Source organism: Homo sapiens, chromosome 8 (assembly GCF_000001405.40).
Source record: "Homo sapiens chromosome 8, GRCh38.p14 Primary Assembly".
Lineage (NCBI taxonomy): Eukaryota > Metazoa > Chordata > Mammalia > Primates > Hominidae > Homo > Homo sapiens.
This window is the reverse complement of record NC_000008.11, coordinates 102,946,388-102,972,328: the sequence shown is the minus strand read 5'-3', so window position 1 is coordinate 102,972,328 and position 25,941 is coordinate 102,946,388. Positions and strand designations below refer to the sequence as shown.

At 43.2% G+C, this 25,941-nt stretch overlaps 1 long non-coding RNA gene across 2 annotated transcripts in view, besides 3 other annotated features; it reads right to left on the bottom strand.

The window, feature by feature from the left end:
• MAILR (macrophage interferon regulatory lncRNA) overlaps nucleotides 1-25,941 on the bottom strand; it is a 113,606-nt gene that overhangs the window by 5,548 nt on the left and 82,117 nt on the right. The window contains exon 3 of one of the 2 annotated variants that reach the window (NR_126338.1): nucleotides 4,656-4,732. The exons of the other annotated variant lie outside the window; for it this stretch is intronic. This is a non-coding gene — a long non-coding RNA (macrophage interferon regulatory lncRNA). The remainder of the gene's footprint in view (nucleotides 1-4,655; nucleotides 4,733-25,941) is intronic. 2 annotated transcript variants of the gene reach the window in all.
• Nucleotides 10,469-10,518: a silencer, noted in NCBI's record as "silent region_19453". NCBI's record gives its function as "represses an Ori minimal core promoter by ATAC-STARR-seq in GM12878 lymphoblastoid cells {active_cell/tissue: GM12878}" and the evidence as "EXISTENCE:reporter gene assay evidence [ECO:0000049][PMID:35858748]".
• Nucleotides 10,539-10,588: a silencer, noted in NCBI's record as "silent region_19452". NCBI's record gives its function as "represses an Ori minimal core promoter by ATAC-STARR-seq in GM12878 lymphoblastoid cells {active_cell/tissue: GM12878}" and the evidence as "EXISTENCE:reporter gene assay evidence [ECO:0000049][PMID:35858748]".
• Nucleotides 15,409-15,478: a silencer, noted in NCBI's record as "silent region_19451". NCBI's record gives its function as "represses an Ori minimal core promoter by ATAC-STARR-seq in GM12878 lymphoblastoid cells {active_cell/tissue: GM12878}" and the evidence as "EXISTENCE:reporter gene assay evidence [ECO:0000049][PMID:35858748]".

Here is a 25,941-nt window from a genome sequence, read left to right as displayed (position 1 = left end):
AGAGAGTCCTTTAAGTGGAAATGAAAGGGCACTAGACAGTAACTTGAAACCATGTGAGGAAATAAAGAGCACTGGTAAATGTAACTACCTAGGTAAAAACAAAGCCAGTGTTATTATACTTTTAGTTTGTAATTCCTTTTCTTCCCTGTATGATTTCAAACACAAGTGCATAAATAATAATCATAGGTCTATATTAATAGCCACATAATGTCTAAAGATGTAATTTGTGACAATATAGCCGGGCGTAGTGGCTCACGCCTGTAATCCCAGCACTTTGGGAAGCCGAGGCAGGCGGATCACGAGGTCAGGAGATCAAGGCCATTCTGGCTAACACGGTGAAACCCCATCTCTAATAAAAATACAAAAAATTAGCCGGGCGTGGTGGTGGGCGCCTGTAGTCCCAGCTACCTGGGAGGCTGAGGCAGGAGAATGACATAAACCCAGGAGGCGGAGCTTGCAGTGAGCCGAGATCGCGCCACTGCACTCCAGCCTGGGGGATAGAGCGACACTCTGTCTCAAAAAAAAAAAAAAATTGTGACAATACTAATAACCTAAAAAGGGGATGGAGCTATAGGAGCAGAGTTTTTGTATATGTTTGAAGCTAAGTGATGTGAATTCAAAATTGATTGTTGTATGTTTAAGAGTTGAATTGTAACCTCCAGGATAACCAATAATAATGTAACTAACAAAATACAGAAAAGGAAATAAGAAAAGAATCAAAACAGTACACTACAAAAAACAATTAAACATAAAAGAAAACAATAAGAAGGAATAGAGGAACACTGTTTTATTTTGTTTTTCAGACAGAGTCCAGCTCTGTAGCTCAGGCTGCAGTGCAGTGGCATGATCTTGGCTCACTATAACCTCTGCCTCCTGGGTTCAAGCAATTCTCGTGCCTCAGCCACCCAAGCAGGTGGGATTATAGGCGCATGCCACCATGCCCAGCTAATTTTTGGATTTGTAGTGGAAACAGGGTTTCACCATGTCGGCCAGGCTGGTCTCAAACTCCTGACCTCAAGTGATAGCCTGCCTCGGCCTCTTTCCAAAGTGTTGAGATTATAGGTGTAAGCCACCATGCCCAGCCAAGGAACACTGGTTTTTTTCCCCAGGTTCTTTGACTTAGCCTTTATTACAATAATGACTGCAAAACAAGATTAAGATGAGATGCTGCTTACTTAAGAATATTTGGAAACGCTTCTTAAGCGACTGAGTGTCACAAGACAGCAGCCATCATTGGTTCCTCTTTGGCTTTCAAGACTTCCCTAGTTCTTTCAGTGGGCTCCTGGGTTGCTTGTTCCTTACAGTGGTTCTGTAGGGCAACGCCAACACTGATTTAATTCATTTCTTCAGGTTTTATTGTGATGTTTGACAGATTTTTGAGTTACCTTTTTTGTATTTTTTTTTTACCATCTTCTTACACATACATTGATAAAAGATTCAAAATACCTGAAGAAGCTCAGATAGACCCTCAGTGAATGAAGAGAAACTGGCTTGTTACATCAGGATATAACAATTAATATGAACATTTGAGATTATTGTGTCCTTTTTAATAAAATTAGGTGCTATTAAAACAAAATCTGGAAAATTAGGGCTCTTTCTGCATGTGACAGAAAACCCAACCTAAGTTAAGCCAAGAAGAAAGCCTGATGGTTTAATAACTGAAAAGTCTGGGCCAGGTGCAGTAGCTCACACCTGTATCACACCTGTAATCCCAGTACTTTGGGAGGTCAAGGCAGGAGGATCGCTTGAGCCCAGGAGTTCAAGATCAGCCTGGGCAACATCATGAAACCCCGTCTCTGCAAACAACTTAAAAATTTGCCATGCGTGGTGGTGCACCTTGTAGTCCCAGCTACTCGGGAGGCTGAGGCAGGAGGATCTTCTGAGCCCAGGGAGGATGATGCTGCAGTGAGCCATGATCGAGCCACTGTACTCCAGCCTGGGCGACAGAGTGGGACCCTGTCTCAAAAACAAACAAACCAAAAAGCCTGAAAAGTCCAAGACTTCAGGCACTCAAATTATGTCATCAAATCTGTTTATGTTTCTCCAGCTCTTGTCTTTGTTGGCTCCTTTCTGAGATAGACATTCCCTCTCCTTTGGTGATAAACTGACTATAGCACCACTAGCTCCACAGCCCCCCAGCTGCAGGTGGAAAGGCAGTCTCTTCTTGGGAGAGCAGAAGTTTTGGGATTCACTTTGATTGGGCCAGTTATGGGTCCTGGGTGTTGGGGTCACTGATTGTCCTGGCCTGGAGTCTGAGTCAGAGCTCCCCCACCCCAAGCACATGGACAGAGAGTGCATTCCCCTAAAGGAATGCAGAGTGCCGCTACACTAGAAGGGGGCATGGCTGCTGGGTGGTCTCTATACTCCTTCCTCACACAGAATGACAGATGGGAAGAAGACCACCAATGTTCACACATTTTTCACTCAGAGGGCTCTAAGTGGAAAGGCGGTGGGGGTTGGGGGGAAAAGAGAGATTGATCAAGAAGGGAGTCAGAGCCCCAGAAAGTCTGCAGTAGCCACATCCTTGAGTGTCCTCTAGTCCATTGTGTAACTGAAGAAACTGAATCCAGAGAAATTAATCACTTCCGCAAGGTTACAGCTTCTTTCTAGCACTATGGGGAGAAAGATTCAGGCATCCTGATCCCTCATTGCAGACCACTCCACTAAGAAACCCTAGTAGGGGTGGGGCACAGTGGCTCATGGCTCATGCCTGTAATCCCAGCACTTTGGGAGGTCGAGGTAGGCAGATCAAGAGATCAAGAGATGGAGACCATCCTGGCCAACATGGTGAAACCCCGTCTCTATTAAAAATACAAAAATTAGCTGGGTGTGGTGGCATGCACCTGTAGTCCCAGCTACTTGGGAGGCTGAGGCAGGAGAATCACTTGAACCCAAGGGGCGAAGGTTGCAGTGAGCTGAGATCATGCCACTTCACTCCAGCCTGGGCAACAGAGTGAGGCTCCATCTCAAAAAAAAACAAAAAACCAAAAAAACAACAACAAAAAGAAACCCTAGTAGGAAGGGGTAATTAGTAGAACTTCCTAAGAACTTAGATCAAAAAAATCTTTCTCAGAAATAGACAAAGATCATAACTTATATTTTCTCTACCTCCCCATATAACCAATAAGATGTGTATACACTCACGCACATATATGTCGTATATTAATATATATGTATGTGTATATAGGTATGTATATAGATATAGGTATATGCATATAGATACATATTTGTAGATATATAGTAAGAAAGGAGAGAGAGGGGTTGATTGCATTTTAGACTCAGGTCTGACTAGAAACGCTTAAGAAAAAACTTTTTTTCCTTCAAAATGGGAGAATTACAGGATAATTATTGTTCAACACCAAGGAGAAGGAACTGATTATCTTGAAGTTTCCCTGCAGTTTGTTATCTTTATTGATTTTTCCAAAGCTCATTTCCAAACATCTGAGTAAATACACAAAATAAATATCTCTCTTAAGTCATTACTATTGTCGCTAGTGCTGGAAGCCAGGCCCTGGCATCTGTGAGCTTTCCCACATGCATCAGCAAAGTGCCAAATGAACAGATGGATTGTGTGTTCTGCTGAAACATCTGGCAAGCCTGGATGTGTTTGGCTAGATTCATGCGTGTGGCTGGGTGCTGCATTATACCAGAGGCCCGCCTCAGCACAGCTTCATTTGACTATATCATTCTGGGACAGAGCTAAAGACCCAGAACCAAAGGCATGAACACAGAAATCTCACACTTGAGACAGAGGGATGTTTTTTTCTCTGATTTAAGCAACACCAAATGAAATCTAATCCAATAAACATTTGTACTAGGCCCAATATTTAGCTTTTTCTTCCTAGAATAATCCAACATGCAACAGACCCCACCAAAAATAAGCTTTGTTAAGACCTCCATCTGTAACTTGGCTGCTCACCTGACCTTTTCACTCTGGTCTTTAGTCTGGGCTACAATTTGTAGGTGTAGTGACTTCTACATTATGGGTATCTAAAGAGGTTTTTTGACTTAGAGCTTTCTAGATGTAAGTAATAAAATGAACTCTATGCAATCGTCACCAGTGAACTGGTAAAAACCCTTAGACATTGTTATCCAGAAGGCTGTCTGTTGCTCAACTCAGCTGCTTTTCTTCTGTTGTCCAGCAACCCTTTTCATCCTCTCAAGTGTTTGTGCTGTCTGGTTTTCCACCCCAATTACAGAAAATTCAAAGTCTCTCCATTTATACATACACCAAGTTCATTCTCTAAGTTCAGCTGTCTCTTTGTCAATATTCATGTATGTTGGTTATGGTGGGAATTCATATAATGCTAGAATATAAGAAAAGAGCTGGGCATGGTGGCTCAGGCCTGTAATCCCAGCACTTTGGGAAGCTGAGATGGGAGAATCACTTGAGCCCAGGAGTTCAAGACCAGCCTGGGCAATATAGTGAGACCTCATCTCTACGAAAAATAGAAAAAATTAGCATGGTGTGGTGGCACAGGCCTGTAGTCCAAGCTACTCAGGAGGCTGAAATGGGAGGATCGCTTGAGCTCAGGAAGTTATGGCTGCAGTGAGCCATGATCGTGCCATTGCATTCTAGCCTGGGCGACAAAGCAAGATGCTGTCTCAAAAAAAAGAAAGAAAGAAAAAGTAAAAAATGTCTTCTTTTTCAATACCTATTTTTCACAGCTTGGGCTGCCACAAGGCGTCCTGTCCTCCCCTTTGCCTGGAAACACAGCTCACCACCGTCCACCTGAAGCGCAGGATAGTATTAGGAGGGTTTTCACAATCACACACTCTTAAGGAAGTGAAGAACTTCCAAGTTGAGAACAAGTTCCAGGTACTTTCATTACCTGGAGGAGTCTCCTCTTTGCTCAGAAGTTCTTGGACTCTATGAAACTTCCTGCTCAACATCATTAGCTGTTTCCTCTGAGTTTGGCATTCCTCTTGACTCCCCCAAATTGACATAATTCTCTTCCCTAGTTACTACCTGAAGTCTGAGATTCCTAGCATTAAATACTTTGGTTAGCCCTACAAACAGGAAGTATATGGTCCTGGGGGTGGGTAACTGAGAGAAAGTCAACCTGTCTCCTTAGGAGCCTCTCAGGAGACTCATCTGGCCTTATTTCCATCCCACCTCCTTCCCTGACCTGCTCAACTGGACAGACTGCCTGAGTCTTAGCTCAAGGCCACTTGCCATAGGTCAATAATAAATCATTTCTATTCCTTTCTGCATTTTAAAGAAAATGTTTTAACAGTCATACTTTAATGTCAAGAGCACAATTTTGAAAACTGCGTAAAGATGACAGTTTCAGAGGCAGATTTGGGTTGAGCTAAGTGATTTTCAGCTTCTGCTCTAGCAAATTATCCGAAGGCTGCTTCTTCTGAAATTCACTCTTCATCACTGCTAGGACTTGATCAGGTCAGCTTGCCACAATTGGCCAGGTTTATTATTTATTGGCTAGAGGTAAAATATTCAAATGATTATCTAGTACATGTGACTATTTGCTATCAACCTCGGTTTCCAGTAGTGGAGGAAAGGATGAATAAAATGGGTGGATTGCATACTATGGAGTCTTGTGCAGTGATAAAAACAACAAATGAAATGCATGCACGGCAATAATTTTAGTTCTTTAAAATATAGTACTGAGAAAAAATAGCAAAAAACAACATTTATAGCACATACACTAACACAATACACTTTATAAGACAAAGGCATATTTAAGAAAATATATGAAAATGTGAAAGTAGTAACTTATGGTCAGGGGTAGGGGTTAGGGGTAAAATAAAATAAAATAAGAGAAACCTTCCCAAAAATGTGATGATAAGGTAGCATGAACTGAGTAGTATGATTAACTCTTTTGAAGTCTCAAAAACTGCACAAATAAGCCTGGACAACATGGTTAAAATTGTCTCTACAAAAAATACAAAAATTAGCCAGGCGTGGTGGCATGTCTCTAGTCCCAGCTACTCGGGAGGCTGAGGTGGGAGGATCACCTGAGCCTGCAAAGTCAAGGCTTCAGTGAGCCGTGATGGCACCACCACACTCCAGCCTGAGTGACAGAGCGAGACCTTGTCTCAAAAAAAAAAATCATAAATTAGTGCTTCCCAGCAGTGTTCCAGTCATAGAGCATGAACATTCTGAAAGATGCTAACGCGTGTTACCAAAAAGCAGATTCCATGATCCTGTACATTAGGGAAACTTAGGTTAAACAAAGTTAAACAAGTTTCTTCACTTCAGATCTCCTCAGAGTCTGTAACAGTCTAATTTATGATGGGTATACACAGTATTTCCCAAACTTCTTTGGCCTTGGAACTATTTTTGGCAAATGCTGTTTTGCAAAACACAGATTGGGAAATGCTGCCCTCACCGTTTACCCCAGTTACTTTCTTCTCTCAAGACAGCCTCAGTACTCCATTCCACCTGTCCTCCAGGTCTCCTCTCTTCCAGGAAACCCCCTCTGCAGCCCATAATCATCTCTATTCTCATCTTATTGCTGCAACTCTTTGGCCAATAAGCAGTAAGATCAGAGTATTTTACTGTTGCTGCAGAAATGTATTAGTGCAGCAGGAGGTTCAGAATACAGCAGACATACTCTACTGTTGCTTCTGTATCTGCTATTGCTTTCTTAAGGATGAGGGCGACACAGTTTTTTATCTCTACCTTAACTTTTGGTGATGTTGACTTGAATAAATTACATGGAAGGACCTTTCAGCCAATCATTTCACAGCATCTATTCAAATCAGGTTAAATTAATACTGTCTGAGGTGAGGGTGAAAGAGTCATATTTACAAAGCATCCCAAACAACAGAAAACAGCTTTTTTCATAATGTTTTGATGCTTTAATACATTTAAGGAAAAGTGAGAAGGTGAAACAAGGACAATTATACGCTTCCCAAAACAGCTTTAAGTCAGTTGAATGGTTTCTTAGCTTTGCCTAGCCCTGCTCTACACCAGGATTCAATGATGATGATGATGATGAACAACAAGGAGGGTGAGGGAGATGAAGGAGAAGAACAACAAGGAGGAGGCAACTACCTTTATAAATTCCAGGCCAGGCGCAGTGGCTCACACCTGTAATACCAGCACTTTGGGAGGCTGAGGCAGGTGGATCACCTGAGGCCAGGAGTTCAAGACAAGCCTGGCCAACATGGTGAAACCCCGTCTCTACTAAAAATACAAAAATTAGCCAGGCATGGTGGTGCATGCCTGTAGTCCCATCTACTCAGGAGGCTGAAGCAGGAGAATCACTTGAACCCGGGAGGCGGAGGCTGCAGTGAGCCAAGATTGTGCCACTGCACTTCAGCCTGGGTGACAGAGGGAGATTCCGCCTCAAAAATAAATAAATAAATAAATACGTAAATTCCAGATTTCAGGACCAGTACTATGTTAAGTACCTCACCTACTTCATAGGTTTAAAAGAGTGGCCACCTAGTCCGGGCATCATAGCAAGACCTCATCTCTACTAAAAGTAAAAAAAAAATCAGCTAGATGCCGTGGCGCATGCCTGTCATTCCAGCTACTTGGTAGCTGATGTGGAAGGATCGCTTGAGGCTGGGAGATCAAGCCTGCAGTGAGCCGTGATCACGCCACTGCATACCAGCCTAGGTGACAGAGCGAGACCCTGTCTCAAAAAAAGGAAAAAAAAACGTGGTCACTGAAAAGCCCCTTTTACCAACATGTCTTTCTCCCATGGCTTTCAGAGACCTAAAATTTCCATCTTTATACATCTGTTCCTACAGCCCCTTTAACATCTGTAAAAACTCCAGAAGTATTATACTGGTAATACCCTTGTATGAATGGATTTGTTGTAGATTTTTTTTAAAATCACCTATCAGAAGACCTTGGGAAAATATTTAGCATTGCTCATGGTGTAAGGGGTACTCTCTGGGAGGCTAGAGACAGATGAAACAAAGCAATGCAGCTTTTCCTCCTAGTTCCTGCTTAAACACTGTGACATTCACTAAGAACTCACAATTTACAAGATATCTTGAAGGCACATAGGGTTTTAAAGGTGAATATAGATTGCAATATTTGCCCTTAGAACTTAGCAGAGAGACAATCACAAATACTTGTAATATGATGCAACTGCTCTAATAGAAGCATGAGAATTATGTATGTAAAGCACCCAGCCCAGATGCTTAGCACAGAGGAATTGCTTTCTTCTCCCTGTTCCTCTGTAGGAGTCCAAGAAAGCTTCAGAGAGAAGCACTCTGTCTTGGAGGATAAGTAGAAATCTTCCAAGCAAAGAGCTGGAGATGACAATGGTGTGCTGGTGAATGTTCAACTGGCATTCCAGGAGGGGGACAAAAGCCGTGATTGTATCACTTGCCAATTTCCATGGTGTAAATACTCCTCCTGCAGCAAATCTCAAGCTACCAACATGATGTCACTGAACACGGAGTTGGGACTAGAAGTGTCTAAGCTAGTTAGAGCAGCTCCAGCACACCATAGGGAGACCAGATGAAAGAAACAGCCCGTGAACTGAAAACATCTGGTGATGAGTTGGCTATTGTCCCACATAGTGTGAGAGAGGGGCTGGGAGAGAGATGAAAATAGAGAAGCATGCACAGTCTAAACCAGAATCTGCAAAGAGAAAAGCAGGTATAGCCTGTGATGGGAGAAACAGGTCAGGAAAGAAGAATTTGGAAAACAGTTCAGAAATAGATCACAAAACGCAGTGAACTTTTGTAATTTTATGTTCTATGCAACTAATCATGATCTAAACAATCCATGTTTTAAAGAAATAACTCAGCCAGGCGCGGTGGCTCACGCCTGTAATCCCAGCACTTTGGGAGGCCGAGGCGGGGGGATCACGAGAACAGGAGTTCAAGACCAGCCTGGCCAACATGGTGAAGCCTTGTCTCTACTAAAAATACAAAAATTAGCCAGGCATGGTGGCATGTGCCTGTAATCCCAGCACTTTGGGAGGCTGAGGCGAGTGGATCACTTGAGGTCAAGAGTTCAAGACCAGCCTGGGCAACATGGCGAAACCCCATCTCTACTAAAAGTACAAAAATTAGCCAGGCGTGGTGGTGGGAGCCTGTAATCCCAGCTACTCGGGAGGCTGAGGCAGGAGAATCCCTTGAACCCAGGAGGCAGAGGTTGCAGTGAGCTGAGATCACGCCACTGTACTCCAGCCTGGGCAACAGAGCAAGACTCCGTTTCCAAAAAAAAAAAAGAAAGAAAGAAAAATGAAAAGAAATAACTCTAGGCCAGGCATAGTGGCTCACGCCTGTAATCTCAGCACGTTGGGAGTCCGAGGTGGGAGGATCACCTGAGCCCAGGAGTTTGAGACCAGCCTAGGCAACATGGTGAAACCCCTATCTCTACAAAAGAAAAATATATATATATAAAATTAGCCTGACATGGTGGTGTGCACCTGTAGTCCCGGCTACTGTGGAGACTGAGGCGGGTGGATCACCTGAGCCAGGGAGGTTGATGCTGCAGTAAGCCAAGGTTTTGCCACTCCACTCCAGCCTGGGTGACAGAGTGAGACCTTGTCTCTCAAAAGAAAAGAAATAATTCTAGTGGCAGTATAGAGGATTAACCAGAGGGCAGAAAGACTGGGAGTAAAATGACTAGTTAATAAATTTTCAGGCTGGGCGCAGTGGCTTACGCCAGTAATCCCAACACTTTGGGAGGCCGAGGCAGGTGGATCACTTGAGGTCAGGAATACGAGACCAGCCTAGCCAACATGGAAAACCCCATCTCCACTAAAAAAAAATACAAAATTAGCCAGGCGTGGTGGATCAGTAGCCTCTGATCCCAGCTACTCTGGAGGCAGAGGAAGGGGAATCGCTTGAACTCAGGAGACTGAGATCACGCCACTGCACTCTAGCCTAGGTGACAGAGTGAGACTCCGTCTCAAAAATAAATAAACAAATTTTCAAAATAAAGATCTAGGCTGACAATGTTTGGCATCTTTGGGACACAACTCAGCATTTCACAGGGTGTGTATATCCCACCTCAAGGGGTTCTTTCACTCAGGCCTTTAGAGAACAAAGAAAGGAAACAATAAAAATAACTAAAAAATACCAGTAAATATAAACTATACAATGTACTGCATAGCTTTACCAAGCATAAATGTGTATGTGTACCTTTTTATATGGTGAATTCTTTTATGAATCCCTGTTCCTCCACAACAGGGAATATTTCTCCGCTTCTGCTTCTTATTGCTAATTCTTCTTGCTTGTTCCTGAGAATAACACTGGTCCTATTAAGCTCTCAGATCTGTTCTGTATTTGCTTGATGTTCAATTATGTAAGTGCTCACCCCCTTTAACCACAGGAACGTTTGTTTCTGCAGCTGCAGTGCCCTGCTGCTTGCATGCCAAGCCAGATTTCCATGGCCGAAGCATTGGAACTGAGTGCAACATTTACCTTGGAGGTGCCACAGTTTCTCAGGTCTCCTGCTTCTGTATTTGACACTGGCGGCATGGCCACGTGGTTGATGGGCCCTGGGTCTACATTAGCTGACTGGTCTAAAGCCTCCCTGACCTCGTTCTAGTTCCCTTGCTAATAGCAGCCCACAAGATGGTCACATAAGTGCAGCTGCTGTGGTTTTGCTGCAGGTTTCTGTGATCGTTTTGTAGGTACAGGCATCTACCCGTGGGAGGTCCTGCAATTTATACAGGAAGATGTGCATGTGATAGTGTCTGCAGATCCCATACTGACTCATTTTTTCCTGTTTTCCTCTTCCTTCTGTTCTTGGTGTCAGAACCAAGCACTTGTTACTAAAGGCTGGGACTGCATAGCCCAGGGCCTTTAACTCTATCGCCACCAGCAGGTGGGTGTAGCCGCAGTATCAAGGGAGCTGGGGAGAGCAGGGGAGGGGAGGGAAGGAATCCATTGCTCCTTCTCAGGTTTCCTCAATCTAAGCGCAAATCCTAGGAGGAAAGGTCCACTCACTTCCTCCCACACATGCTGGTATTAGCGCTGACCCTTCTTCTCCAGCCAATCTGGAATGCGGTGGTTATGAGTGTGGGCCCTCAGTCAGACCACCTGATTCAAACCTCGCTTTGCAGGGTGACCTTGGTAAGATTGCCAAATTTAGCAAAAACAAACAAATGCAAACTGGATACCTATTTAAATCTGAATGGCAGATAAACAATGAATTTTAGTATGAGTACATCCCATGCAATATTTCTACTAAGAGATTATTTATTATTTATTACATTTATCTGGGTGTCTAGTATTTTACCTGGCAACCTAGACCTCAGGCAAGTTACTTTACCCCTCTAGGCCCACATTTCCTTATCCAGAACTTGAAAATAATTGCACTGCCTACCTGAAAGTGTTGTCTTGAGGATTAAATGGGATAATGTAGAATGTTAGGGAAGTGCCTGCAGGCACACATTTGATAAGTGTTAAGTGGATATTCAACATAGTATGGTGGATATTCAGTATAGTATAGTATAGTATAGTATAGTATAGTATAGTATAGTATAGTATAGTATAGTACAGCACAGCACAGCACAGCACAGCAAAGTACAGTACAGTACAGTACAGTACAGTACAGTATAGTATAGTATAGTATAGTATAGTATATGCATGGCCTTGGGAGGCACACAGACCAGGTTCAAACCCTCCTCTGTCACTTGCCTGCATTGTGACCTTGGGCAAGTTATTTAACTTCTCTGCGCCTCAGTAATCATCTTCTACAGAATGGGGATAATTGTAGTCTTTACCTTATGATGTTGAGTGGAGTAAATAAGACAATACATGGAAATCAGCACAATGCCTGGTAAATGTAATAAATAGTATTCTACGTATTAAATAGTGATAAGAACATTATATAAATTGTTTACCTCCTCCAAGACCCTCCTTACCCCCTCCATCCACCATCTTTGTTGCAAAGCTTCTCTGTCCTATTCCAGCGGGCACTGATTTTTCCTTCCTCTGAATTTCTGCAGTCCTTGCTGATCTTACCACCACAGGAACCTTGATTATACTCTGCCCTGCACTGTTTGTTAACTATCCCATTTATGGATGCCTTTTCTCATTGGTCAAAACCTGGAGGCCTTGGGCTTCTTCTCCAGCTCCTCCCTTAACTGCTGGGCACCACTATCAGTAGATATCTGTTGCCTAACTTATTAGTGCCATTGTCATGGATTTGTGGGCCAAGAGAAAAAGTCAAACCTACCTATCCAATGACCTACTTCTTGAAATCTACCGGCAGGGAAAAAAGGTCCTGTTTAAAATGTTACTGTAGGCTGGGTGTGGTGGCTCATGCCTGTAATCCCGGCACTTTGGGAGGCTGAGGCCGGTGGACCACCTGAGGTCAGGAGTTTGAGACCAGCCTGGCCAACATGGCAACACCCCATCTCTACTAAAAATACAAAAATTAGCCAGGTGTGGTGGAGGTGCGTGTAATCCCAGTTACTTGGGAGGCTGAGGCAGGAGAATTGCTTGAACCCAGGAGGCTGAGGTTGCAGTGAGCCGAGATCGCTCCACTACACTCCAGCCTGGGTGACAAAGCAAGACTCTGTCTCAAAAAAATAAATAAATAATAAAATAAAATGTCAGTGTAGGTTTTCCTGCGCATGTAGAACCCTGGAGAAATAATACCAAGTGTCAGGTTTGCCACTGTCCTGAGCATAGTCAAGCACAGCATTAAGGGGCATGCTGTCCCTGGCCTGTGTCTAGGTTTCTTTCATGGGTAGGCAACTTCTCTCGAATCCTGCTATTGGTGCTTGAAACATTAAGATACTCAGCACAGGGCTACTCTATCAATGACAATGCATAGGAAACATTGCCTGACTTTAACAAGATACAAAAACAGGATTTTTTTTTTTTTTTTTTTTTTGAGGAGACAAAGTCTCACTCTGTCGCCCAGGCTGGAGTGCAGTGGTGCAATCTCAACTCACTACAACCTCCGCCTCCTGGGTTCATGCCATTCTCCTGCCTCAGCCTCCCGAGTAGCTGGGACTACAGGCACGTGCCACCAAGCCCGGCTAATTTTTTGTATTTTTAATAGAGACGGGGTTTCTCAGTGTTAGCCAGGATGGTCTTGATCTCCTGACCTTGTGATCCACCTGCCTTGGCCTCCCAAAGTGTTGGGATTACAGGCGTGAGCCACCGTGCCTGGCCCAAAAACAGGATTTTTTTTGGTACATCTGAAACATGATAACAATAGTAAAATCGCTATACCAGCGACACTCAACTTTGGCTATTAGAATCACCTGGGGAGCTTAAAAAGCTACCAAGATGCTGATTGATTTGGCCTGTGTTGGGGACCTGCATATCAGGAGTTTTAAAACCTTCCCAGGTGATTCTCATGAGCAGCTTCTCTGCAGTATGACTGCTTTAAATGTAAACTGCATGGCTTGCCTGACGTGGTTTTTGCAAAGTACAGAATGTTTCAGAATTGGCTGTAGGTTAAGACCTAAATACCTTTTTTTTTTTTTGCTTCTGGACAGTAGGTAAAACAACTCTAAAATGACCTGATGTTCTTCCAAATTACTGTGTAATTAACTATCGCCAAACAAACTTCTTGTAAGACTTTGCAGCGGTATTTTCCAATATCCTGTTCAGCCACTAACTGAGAGCCAGTTTTCCAGTGTGGGGTAAACCTTGGTTCATGGACACTGATTACTACAATCACCTGGTGGCCCAGGAAGGAAAGAACAGAGGTCACAAAACTAGTCTGCTAGAGAGGCTGGGAGGCTTGGAGCAGAGCTTTCCAAATTTTAACGTGCACATGAATCACCTGGTGGTGGTGGGCAGGGGTCTTGTTAATACCCAGATGCTGATTCGGTAGGTCTGGGGAAGGGCCTGAGAGTCTGCATTTTGTTTTTGTTTGTTTGTTTTGAGACGGAGTCTCGCTCTGTCACCCAGGCTGGAGTGCAGTGGTGCGATCTCGGCTCACTGCAACCTCCGCCTCCCGGGTTCAAGCAATTCTCCTGCCTCAGTCTCCCGAGTAGCTGGGACTACAGGTGCCCGCCACCACACCTAGCTAATTTTTTTTGTATTTTTAGTAGAGACAGGGGTTTCACCATATTGGCCAGGCTGGTCTCGAACTCCTGACCTTGTGATCTGCCTGCCTTGGCCTCCCAAAGTGCTGGGATCACAGGCATGAGCCACCGTGCCTGGTCGAGTTTGCAGTTTTAACAACCTCCCAGGTGGAGCCAATTCTGCCAGTCCAGGGACCACATTGGGATAGCAAAGCCTTGGAGAAATCTGGTTTACACAGCTTTTTAAAATTTGCAATGCCTTAGGCAAGGACTTCATGTCTAAAACAACAAAAGCAATGGCAACAAAAGCCAAAATTGACAAATGGGATCTAATTAAACTAAAGAGCTTCTGCACAGCAAAAGAAACTACCATCAGAGTGAACAGGCAACCTACAGAATGGGAGAAAATTTTTGCAATCTACTTATCTGACAAAGGGCTAATATCCAGAATCTACAAAGAACTTAAACAAATTTACAAGAAAAAATCAAACAACCCCATTAAAGTGGGCAAAGGACGTGAACAGACACTTCTCAAAAGAAGACAATATGCAGCCAACAGACACATGAAAAAATGCTCATCATCACTGGCCATCAGAGAAACGCAAATCAAAACCACAATGAGATACCATCTCAGACCAGTTAGAATGGCCATCATTAAAAAGTCAGGAAACAACAGGTGCTGGAGAGGATGTGGAGAAATAGGAACACTTTTACACTGTTGGTGGGACTGTAAACTAGTTCAACCATTGTGGAAGACAGTGTGGTGATTCCTCAAGGATCTAGAACTAGAAATACCATTTGATCCAGCCATCCCATTACTGGGGATATACCCAAAGGATTATAAATCATGATGCTATAAAGACACATGCACACATATGTTTATTGCGGTACTATTCACAATATCAAAGACTTGGAACCAACCCAAATGTCCATCAATGATAGACTGGATTAAGAAAATGGGGCACATACACACTATGGAATACTATGCAGCCATAAAAGAGGATGAGTTCATGTACTTTGTAGGGACATGGATGAAGCTGGAAACATTCTGGGCAAACTACTACAAGGACAGAAAACCAAACACTGCATGTTCTCACTCATAGGTGGGAACTGAACAATGAGAACACTTGGACACAGGATGGGGAACGTCACACACCGGGGCCTGTCATGGGGTGGGGGGTGGGGGGAGGGAAACCATTAGGAAATATACCTAATGTAAATGATGAGTTAATGGGTGCAGCACACCAACATGGCACATGTGTACATGTGTAACAAACCTGCATGTTGTACACCGGTACCCTAGAACTTAAAGTATAATAATAATAATAAAAAGTCTTTCATAATTCGAAAAAACAAAATAAAATAAAATAAAATTTGCAATGCCTAAGCCCCACCCAGATCAAGTGAATTAGAATCTCTGGAAGTAGGGCCTGAGCATCAGTGTTCAAAGTTCCCTGACTGATTCTTATGTGCAGCCAAGACTGAGAACACCCATCTGGCAGATGAGGAAACCAAGACTCAGAGAGGAGAAAGAGTAAAAGGGCTAGCTGGGGTGGGAGGGTCCCACGTTTTGAAACCAGCACCCAAGCTTCTGGCCACAAAAACCTTCTTCCTCAATTCTATAGAGACATAAAGCATGAACCCAGGAGGCAGAGGCTGCAGTGAGCGAAGATCATGCCATTGCACTCCAGCCTGGGTGACAGAGCAAGACTCCATCTCAAAAAAAGAAAAAAGAGGCTGATACCTGATTGGATATGGACTAATCCAGGAGTGTTTCCAGCTGAGTTTCCTTAGCCCTTAAAAGCCACCCCACTCTCCGTACACTATTAACTACTATCGTTTTATGACCTCCTGGGACCTCCATTCTGTATGGGCTTTCAGCTGCAGGGTGAAATTTGGGGTAGAGTTATTAGCTTTCAGTCACTGTCAGATTACTCGAATCTCAAAGGTAGACACCCTACATTTAGGGGAAGAAGACTTTTCTCCTATGGAAATTAGGGCTACAATAAGATAATTTCCTTGAGATGACTTTTCATCTTCTATTTCTGGGGACAAGGAAATAGGAAGTAAAACTTTTTCCCATAGAACCCGCTAGTATCATTTTTTTTTTTTTTTTTTTGAGACAGAGTCTCGCTCTGTCACCCAGGCTGGAGGGCAGTGGCTCAATCTCAGCTCACTGCAAGCTCTGCCTTCCTGGTTCACCCCATTCTCCTGTCTCAGCCTCCCGAGTAGCTGGGACTACAGGCGCCTGCCACAACGCCTGGCTAATTTTTTGTATTTTTAGTAGAGACGGGGTTTCACCGTGTTAGCCAGGATGGTCTCAATCTCCTGGCCTTGTGATCCACCCGCCTCGGCCTCCCAAAGTGCTGGGATTACAGGCATGAGCCACAGCGCCCGGCCTTTTTTTTTTTTCCTTTTTTTTTTTAAGACGGAGTCTCGCTCTGTTGCCCAGGCTGGAGTGCAGTGGCACAATCTTGGCTCACCACAACCTCCGCCTCCCGGGTTCAAGCAATTCTCCTGCCTCAGCCTCCCAAGTAGCTGGGACTACAGGCGTGCACCACTATGCCTGGCTAATTTTTGTATTTTTAGTAGAGACAGGGTTTCACTATGTTGGCCAGGCTGGTCTTGAGCTCCTGATCCTGTGATCCACCCCCCTCGATCTTCCAAAGTGCTGGTATTACAGGCATGAGCCACCATGCCCAGCCCCTCATTTTAACATATTTAAGGTTCATGCATATTTGTATTCAATATAAGATTGAATATAATCAATCTTATATATTATGTAATATATTACATAATATATCAATATAAATCTTATATTTATTATTGGGATCTTCCTAATCTTATATAAAATCTTAGATAGGTTTAGGGTGATAAACACTTGGCAATCTGCCGGTAACAGGCAGACAAAAGTATTTAAAAGTAAAGCGTATTTTTAATCTTTCATCCTAACTGAAATAGGTGAAGACATTCTTAATCTTATAGCAAAAGATGGAGAAGTGGCTGGGTGCAATGGCTCACAGCTGTAATCCCAGCACTTTGGGAGGCCAAGGTGAGCAGATCTCTAGAGGTCAGGAGTTCAAGACCAGCCTGGCCAACATAGCAAAACCCTGTCTCTACTAAAAATACAAAAATTAGCCAGGTGTGGTGGCGCACACCTGTAATCCAAGCTACTCGGGAGGCTGAGGCAGGAGAATCACTTGAACCCAAAAGGCAGAGGTTGGAGGCAGAGGTTGTAGTGAGCTGAGATCACACTACTACACTCCAGCCTGGGTGACAGAGTGAAACTCCGTCTCAAAAAAAAAAAAAAAAAAAAAAAGGTGAAGTTAGGGATAAAATGTCAGCATAGCATCTTGTTGTGTGTCTCCCTTTTCAGTTTTACCCAAAAGGGGTTTCAAAAGACTCAGGCTGACAGATTCCAGAGCATTCCTTGTCCACCTGGAGGGACAGTCTATCTCTTCTAGTTAATTCCTGGAGTGCAACGCTAGCCAATCAGGAGAGCATTTCCTCCATCTCTGGACTCAGACTAATTGTTAATCCACACACAATTTCAAGGCCGTTAACCAACAGAAGATTTCTTTGTACATGCTCCTCAAAAACTGTCTCCAAGAAATAGGAATGTGAAAGGAGAAAGCTGTATTATTAGTAGAGACGGGGTTTCACCATGTTTGCCAGGCTGGTCTTGAACTCCTGACCTCAGGTGATCCGCCCACTTCGGCCTCTCAAAGGGCTGAGGTTACAGACATGAGCCACTGCGGCTGGCCATAACTTGTAATTTTTATAATTAATTAAGTACATATTAAGAGATTAATAACATCTCTTAAATATATAAGGAACTCGAACAACTCAAATGCATGAACACAACCTGATTAAAAATGAACAGAGGACCTGAAAAGAGATTTCTCAAAAGAAGACATACAAATGGCCAACAGGTATATGAAAAAAATACTCAACATCACTAATCATCAGGGAAGTGTAATTAAAACCAAAATGAGGCCGGGCATTGTGGCTCACACCTGTAATCCCAGCACTTTGGGAGGACGAGGTGGGCAGATCACTTAAGGTCAGGAGTTCGACACCAGCCTGGCCAACATGGTGAAACCCTGTCTCTCCTAAATATACAAAAATTAGCCAGGTGTGGTGGTGCATGCCTGTAGTCTTTCCTAGCTACTCAGGAGGCTGAAGCAGGAGAATCACTTGAACCCAGGAAGAGGAGGTTGCAGTGAGGCAAGATCATGCTGTTGTACTCCAGCCTGGACGTCACAGCAAGACTTGGTCTTAAAAAAAAAAAAATGAGGCTGGGCACAGTGGCTCATGCCTGTAATCCCAGCAATTTGGGAGGCTGAGGCAGGTGGATCACCTGAGGTCAGGAGTTCAAGACCAGCCTTGCCAACATGGCAAAGCCCCGTCTCTGCTAAAAATACAAAAATTAGCTGGGTGTGGTGGCTGCATGCCTGTAGTCCCAGCTACTCGGGAGGCTGAGGTGGGAGGATCACTTGCCTGGGAGGTGGTGGTTGCAGTGAGCCAAGATTGCTCCACTGCACTCTAGCCTAGGCGACAGAGTAAGACCCTGTCTGAGAAAAAAAGAAATATATATATATTATTAATTCAAGTCCTAGTTTATTCAGATTTCCTTAGTTTTTACCCAATTTCTTTTTTCTGTTCCAGGATCCCATCCTGGATCTCACATTTAATCATCATGTGTCCTCAGGCTCCTCTGTGGCAGTTTCTCAGTCTTTTCTTATTTTTGATGACCTTGACAATTTTGAGGAGTTCTGGTCAGGTAGGTTGTAAGACACCCCTCTATTGGAACTTGTTTGATGTTATTCTTACATATATACTGGGGATATGGATTTTTGGGAGGAAGGTCACAGAGGCAAATCACCATCTTTATCACATCATATCAAGGGTACATACCATCAACATGATTTCTGACTGTTGATATTGATCACCTGGCTGAAGTAGTGTTTGTCAAGTTTCTTCACTGTACAGTTACTTTCCTCTCCTTTCTACATTGTACTCATTAGAAGGAAGTCATGATGTACAGTCTTCCTTTAGGGTGGAGTATTTATATAAATTATTTGAAATTCTGTACAGGATGTTCATAATGGAATTTTAAGTGTGGAGGTCATAACTGTATCAGGCAAAGTTTGTAATTAAATTTCATCAACTTTTTGCTCCAGGGAAAGAAAGAAAAGGATCAGAGGCCAGGCGAGGTGTTCTAACCCTAGCATTTAATAGGGAGTAAACGGCTTGGGTAACTTGGATTGTCTTTTGTCTCTTGAGGATCCGATCAATGTGTGGGGTTATCCAAAATGAGGTATGTCTTAATTTAGTACTCCTTAAAAGACGGTGACAAAACAAAGGGACGTTTTAGCCTGGTTTCTCCAACTGGGTTGAAGGAGAGACTGGGGGCCGCTGAGTTACTCCAAGCATAAGGGGATGAGGGTCTGAGGCAGTGTGGGGGCCATGAAAATAAAAAGTGGTAACTTCATGTTAGAATTTAGTGACTGATGAAATATGAGGGAAGGGAGGAAGAAACGGTATTTCTTTTCTGAAACTTTGTTGAATGGAAGAACATGATACATAGAATATAGGAACAGAAAGAGCACTAGTAAATGCGAAGTTTAATAGCCCATATCTACTCAGAAATGTTTATCAGAACATCGGAAAGGAAGGATTGGCTCACACAAGATAAGGGTATAGATTTTGGAGTTATCTATAAAAAGCAGAAGGAATTGATGGATTCTTCAAGAACAGAGTACATGTAGAGAAGAACGGAAGGCAAGAGTGAAAGTACGTGATGCTTGATGAAGAGCAGAGATGACTTCTACAGCAACTCGAAAACCAGAGAATGGTGGGATAAGGGATGAGTAGGTTTTCTTGCCTGGAGGCCAAATACAAGCCTGTTTTTGTTTTCTTTTGCTTTGTGTTTTGAGACAGAGTCTTGCTCTGCTGCTCAGGCTGGAGGGCAATAACACAATCATGGCTTACTGCGGCCTCGACCTCCCAGACTCAAGCAATCCTCTTGCCTCAGCCTCCTAAGTAGCTAGGACCACTGGTATGTGCCACCTTGCTAATTTTTAAATTTTTATTTATTTTATTTTTAAGAGACAGAGTCCCTCTATGTTGCCCAAGCTGGTCTTGAACTCCTGGGCTCAAGCGATCCTCCTGCCTTGGCCTCCCAAAGTGCAGAGCCACTGCACCAAGCCCCAGCCTGGTTTTTAAAAATATATATATTTTAGCTTCTTTATAAAAATAGAGATGAAGTCTCACTACATTGCCCAGGCTGGTCTCGAGCTCCTGGGATCAAGTGATCCACTCAGCACTTTGGCATCCCAAAGTGCTGGGATTATAAGCGTGAGCCACTGCACCTGGCCCAAGCGTGGTTTTAATGACTGATTCAGGTTTGAGGGGATAGAAAGGTGGCCAACTGATAGAAACCCTAGAAGTGCATGATTAGCAGAGTTCATTGGCATTGAGAAGAAACTGGAAGCTTAGGCAGGAGCACCCTGTGGTGTTCAGGTACTACTGCTGTGCTTCCAGTTTAGTCACTACAAGATTCCTATCAGAATTTTCTGTTGGAATTTAAATTGGGAAGGGGAAGGGAGAGGGCCGGGGACTGTGTGTATTTAATTCACTTCATGTCATGCCAAGCATCCTGGCTAGATGAACACTTGCCACTGTTTGATATGCTGATACAGCCAGGCTTGATAATTTATTAAGAGTAGCAGAGAAATACATGTAGGGTATGTTTCTAGAAAAAAAATGTGCTTAGGTCTCCTTTAATATATTTAATATTGAAACTAGACAGGTTTCTATGCTTGTCTTTTAAATAATGGAGTCTCATTTGATTTTGTAAAAATAACTGCAATAACCTTTTAGGACTTAGATGCCCAAACGTTTTGTCTTGAAACTCAAGTATTGTTAATCCTTATCCTAAACTCTTAATCTGTTCAATTTTGAAAGCCACAATCCTTAATGGCCGACAAGGCCCTCCTCAATTTACTCCCCCTCTCAGCCTCCATTTCCATTACCTCTCTAACCTGGCCACCTATAACTCTCACCTTTTTTTTTTGAGACAGTGTCTTGTTCTGTTGCTTAGGCTGAAGTTCAGTGGGTTAATCATAGCTCACTGCAGCCTCATAATCTTGGGCTCGAGTGATCCTCCTGCCTCAGTTTCCTGAGTAGCTAGGACTACAGGTGCTCACCACCATGCCCAGCTAATTTTACCTTTAGCCTCTTCTATCCAGCCCAATGGCCCACTTGCTGTTCTGTAAGGATGCTGGGCACACTCTCAACTGGGGGCTTCTGTACTTGCTGTTCTTCTGCTCAGAAGGTCTTCCTCCCAGCTCCCACTGTGGCTGTTTCACTTCTGGGGGGGTGTTTGTTCAACTATCATCTTTTCAGAAAGACTTTCTCTGACCGTACTATTTAAATGGTGACCCACCTATTGCTGGCATAGTCTATTTTCCCTTTCCCTCATTGATTTTTGTCTATATCACTTAACACCATCAAAAATACTAATACAGGCTAGATGCAGTGGCTCATACCTGTGATCCCGGTTCCTTGGGAAGCTGAGGCAAGAGGGTTGCTTGAACCCAGGACTTTAAGACCAGCCTGGGCAATGTAGCAAGACCCTAACTCTACAAAAAAATTAAAAATCAGCCTGGCACTGTGGCATGTGCCTGTAGTCCCAGTTACTCAGGAGGCTGAGACAAGAGGATTGCTTGTGCCTAGGAGGTCAAGGCTACAGTGAGCTATGACTGCGCCACTGCACTCCAGCCTGGGCAACATAGCAAGACCCTGTCTCAAAAAAAAAAAAAACCAGGCTGGTCCAATGGTGGTGGGTTATCACAGCTTATTAACATTAGTGTCACTAAAGTTGGTATACAACACCCCCACAATGTTAAATTTGACTGGCAAAAAAAAAAAAAAAACAATAGGCTGAGCTTGGTAGCTCACGCCTGTAATCCCAACACTTTGGTAGGCTGAAGCAGGCAGATCGCTTCAGGTCAGGAGTTCAAGACCAGCCTGGCCAACACAGTGAAACCCCATCGCTGCTAAAAATACAAAAATTAGCGGGGCGTGGTGGTGCACACCTGTAGTCCCAGCTACTCGAGGGGCTGAGGCAGGAGAATCGCTTAAACCTGGGAGGCAGAGGTTGCAGTGAGCCGAGATCGTGCCACTGCACTTCAGCCTGGGCAGCAGAGTGAGACTCTGTCACACACACACACACAAAAAAGTGTGTGTATATATATATATATACACACACACACACACACACACTAACATATATACATATATATACACATACACACTAATACACTGTGTAGTTTGCAGTTTGCTTATTTATTTTGTCTGTCTTCTCCATGCAATTATAAAAATGTAAGCTCCCTGAGGACGTGGATTTTTTTGTTTGTTTGTTTTACTGCCTACAACAGTGTTTGGGACATAGTAGTTATTCAATAAAAAGTCATTGAATGAATAAATTTGATTCCATGTATTAGGGACAGACTTTTTCTTGTTATGTTTATAGGGAAGTTATTTTCTTTCTTTCTTTTTTTTTTTTTTTTTGAGATGGAGTTTCTCTCTTGTCACCCAGGCTGGAGTGCAACGGTGCAACCTCGGCTCACCACAACCTCCGCCTCCCAGGTTCAAGCAATTCTCCTGCCTCAGCCTCCTGAGTAGCTGGGATTACAGGCATGCACCACCACGCCCAGCTAATTTTGTATTTTTAGTAGAGACAGGGTTTCTCCATGTTGGTCAGGCTGGTCTTAAACTCCTGACCTCAGGTGATCTGCCCGCCTTGGCCTCTCAAAGTGCTGGGATTACGGATGTGAGCCACCGCGCCCAGCCAGGAAGTTATTTTCTGTAGAGAAGCTTAAAGCATTTTAGGGTGATTCTACAGACACAAGAAACAGGGTTATGCGTGACTCTGATTAAATTCACTTTACCAGCCCTTACTGAGTTCCTACTCTGTACCAGGTTCTGCTTGTGCTAAGGCTTAGGCTACTGACACAAGGACATGGCCTAGCCGATGTGAATTTCATTAGTACCTTTCAGGGGAGACTGATGGGTGAACAGTTGGGTTCACTGTCTTGTAGCTAATGTTGTGGTAGGTATATGCCTTGGTGCTAGGGTAGCATGCAGATGGGGCCCTGTGCCAGGCCAGACAGGGAAGGGGAAAAGGGATGAGAGAATCCAAGGGTTTTATGGAGGTAGTAACATCTGAACTGAACCTTTACGTTTGAGTAGGTGTTAGCTAGAGAAAGCAGGTGGCAGCTGGAAAGGAGGGAATGTGGAGAACATTCCAGGTAGAAGGAAAAGCATGAGCAAAGGCATGGAGATGTGATGCCCAGGAAGTGTGGTGGAGGTGGGCATTAACTCAGGACAAATTCTGTTGATCAGTTGGGTGTCATCAACTAGCAGGAAAGAGAGGGGCAGAAAGAACCAGCAACCTATGAGGCAAATGCTGGTCTTCCTTCATGGACAAGGAATCCGACATAGAGAGGTTTTGTATAAGAAGTGGTGTGGCATAGTAGTTAAGTGTGTGTGTGCAAAAGCCAGTCTACCTGGTTCCAATCCCAGCTCAACACCCAACAGTGTGGTTTTAGGTAAGGTTCTTGTCCTGTCTGGGCCAAAGTGTCTTCGTGTAAAAAATGGAGCTGATAATACCTAACTCAGAAAGGTGATTTTGAGAATTAAATATCTTAATACTGCAAATCATTCAACCCAGTGCTTGAAACAGAGTAAATGTTCATAAATGTTAGCTATAATCATTACTAGTAACTTGTCCAACTTTGCCACTAAGCTCATAAGGAGCTAGGATTTGAACATGGGTATATTTAACTTCTATGTCTTGCTCTCTATGACACTCTGGCTTTCAGAATCATGTATATTTCTGATGCATAGACATGCTGCACTTTTAATAACACTCGTATATTTCTTGCATATTTCCATCTTCTTTTTCTAAAAAATATTAGAGTTCTAGAAATTTATATGTCCCACAGTAAGAAATAGATTTGAATTCCAGCCCAGTATATGTTCTCATATAAATAAAACAAGCAAAATTTTCACAAAGCAGTAGTGGCACCCAATCCATGTGCCATATACTCTGATATGTCTATTCTATTTTTTTTAAATAATAGTAAATAACAAGTTGGGGGTGGTTTCATATCCATGAGTAGACTGAGACTCAAAATTTAAAGAATATTATCCTATAGGAATGTCCAATTTATGTTCTAATTCCCAGCCAATCTAGCAACCTTCTGTTTACTAAGTCAGGAAGGGAGCAGCCTGGTTGGAAGACTCTAGTCCAGGATTTAAAATTCAAATGCCTTTATGGGACAGGTGTAACACAAATGTTTATAAGGCTATCAAGATGCAGAAAATGATGAAGGCTTGCCTTTCTGAAAGCTGGATTTTGGTTTCGTTTTGTTTTTTAAATTAAGCCCCTCTATCCTTGGAGAGAGACACATTGGTTTACAAACTGGTTTTATTTAGTGAGAACTAGTTTCTACCATCCTATCTAAAATAAGTATTGATATGGTTTGGATCTGTGTCTCTGCCCAAATCTCATGTCAAATTGTAATCCCCAAAGTTGGAGGTGGGCCTGTTGGGAGGTGATTGGGTCATGAGGGGTGGGATTTTCCCTTTGGTGCAGTTCTTGTGATAGTGAGTGAATTATTGTGAGAACTGGTTATTTAAAAGTGTGTAGCACCTCCTCCTCACTCTCTTCCTCCTGCTCCAGCCATGTAAGACATGTCTGCCTCCCCTTTGCCTTCCACCATGGTTGTAAGTTTCCTGAGGCCTCCCAAGCCATTTGTTCCTGTACAGCCAGTGGAACCATGAGCCAATTAAACCTCCTTTCTTTATAAATTACCCAGTTTCAGATATTTCTTTATAGCAGTGTGAGAACTGACTAATACAAGTATCTTCTCTCTCACCCTTTATTTCCTACTTCAGTCTCTTATTTATTTCCTTCTTTGCTGATAGAAACTTACAATTAATTTGTCTGTTTACTTGTGTTTTGTCTGTTTCTCCAGTGAATATTGGCTATACAAGTACAGCCATGACTCTCCTATTCACCGTTGTATCCCCAGTACCTACACTCAGTACACAGCACATATTAGATGCTTAATAAATATTTGTTGACTAGATGGTGGGATGGATGCATAGATAATGTAAGGATGGATGGATGGAAGGATGAACAGATGGAAAAGTGATAAAAAATAAGATTTCTGGGCTGGGAGCGGTGGCTCACGCCTGTAATTCCAGCACTTTGGGAGGCAGAGGCAGGCAGATCACGAGGTCAGGAGCTCGAGACCAGCCTGGCCAACATGGTGAAACCTCATCTCTACTAAAAATACAAAAATTAGCCGGGTGTGGTGGCAGGTGCCTGTAATCCCAGCTACTTGGGAGGCTGAGGCAGGAGAATTGCTTGAACCTGGGAGGTGGAGGTTGCAGTGAGCTGAGATTTCACCACTGCACTCCAGCCTGGTGACAGAACAAGACTCATCTCAGGGAGAAAAAAAAAAGTTTCTGAACCTACAGAACTGAAGATCTATGATGACTGGTGATTCCACTATGTCACATCTACCCACTGAGACCTATCGTGAAACAGTTCCAATATACCTTTGCTATGATATGTTTTCAAATTTGTTTAAACAATTGTAGTAAACATCTATATTTCTTATTGATATACAAGATTAGCCTACAAACCTAAGAACATTTCTTATATGTGGGATGGGTATCATCTATCATTTGGAGGAGTGGTCTGCCTACTCTTCCTTCTCTGTAGAGATTCAGATGTAAAATACAGCAATGCTAGTCACTATAACCACAGAAATCAAATTCCACAAGACAAAGTCACTTTTCTCTGCATTGGAAAGTAACATTTGTGTTCGGGTAAAATACCTACATAATTAGACTCATTCCTGCTCCTGGAGTTACCCACTGGTATTTTTATACTATATTTAAGAGAATCAGATCTGTAATCACACAT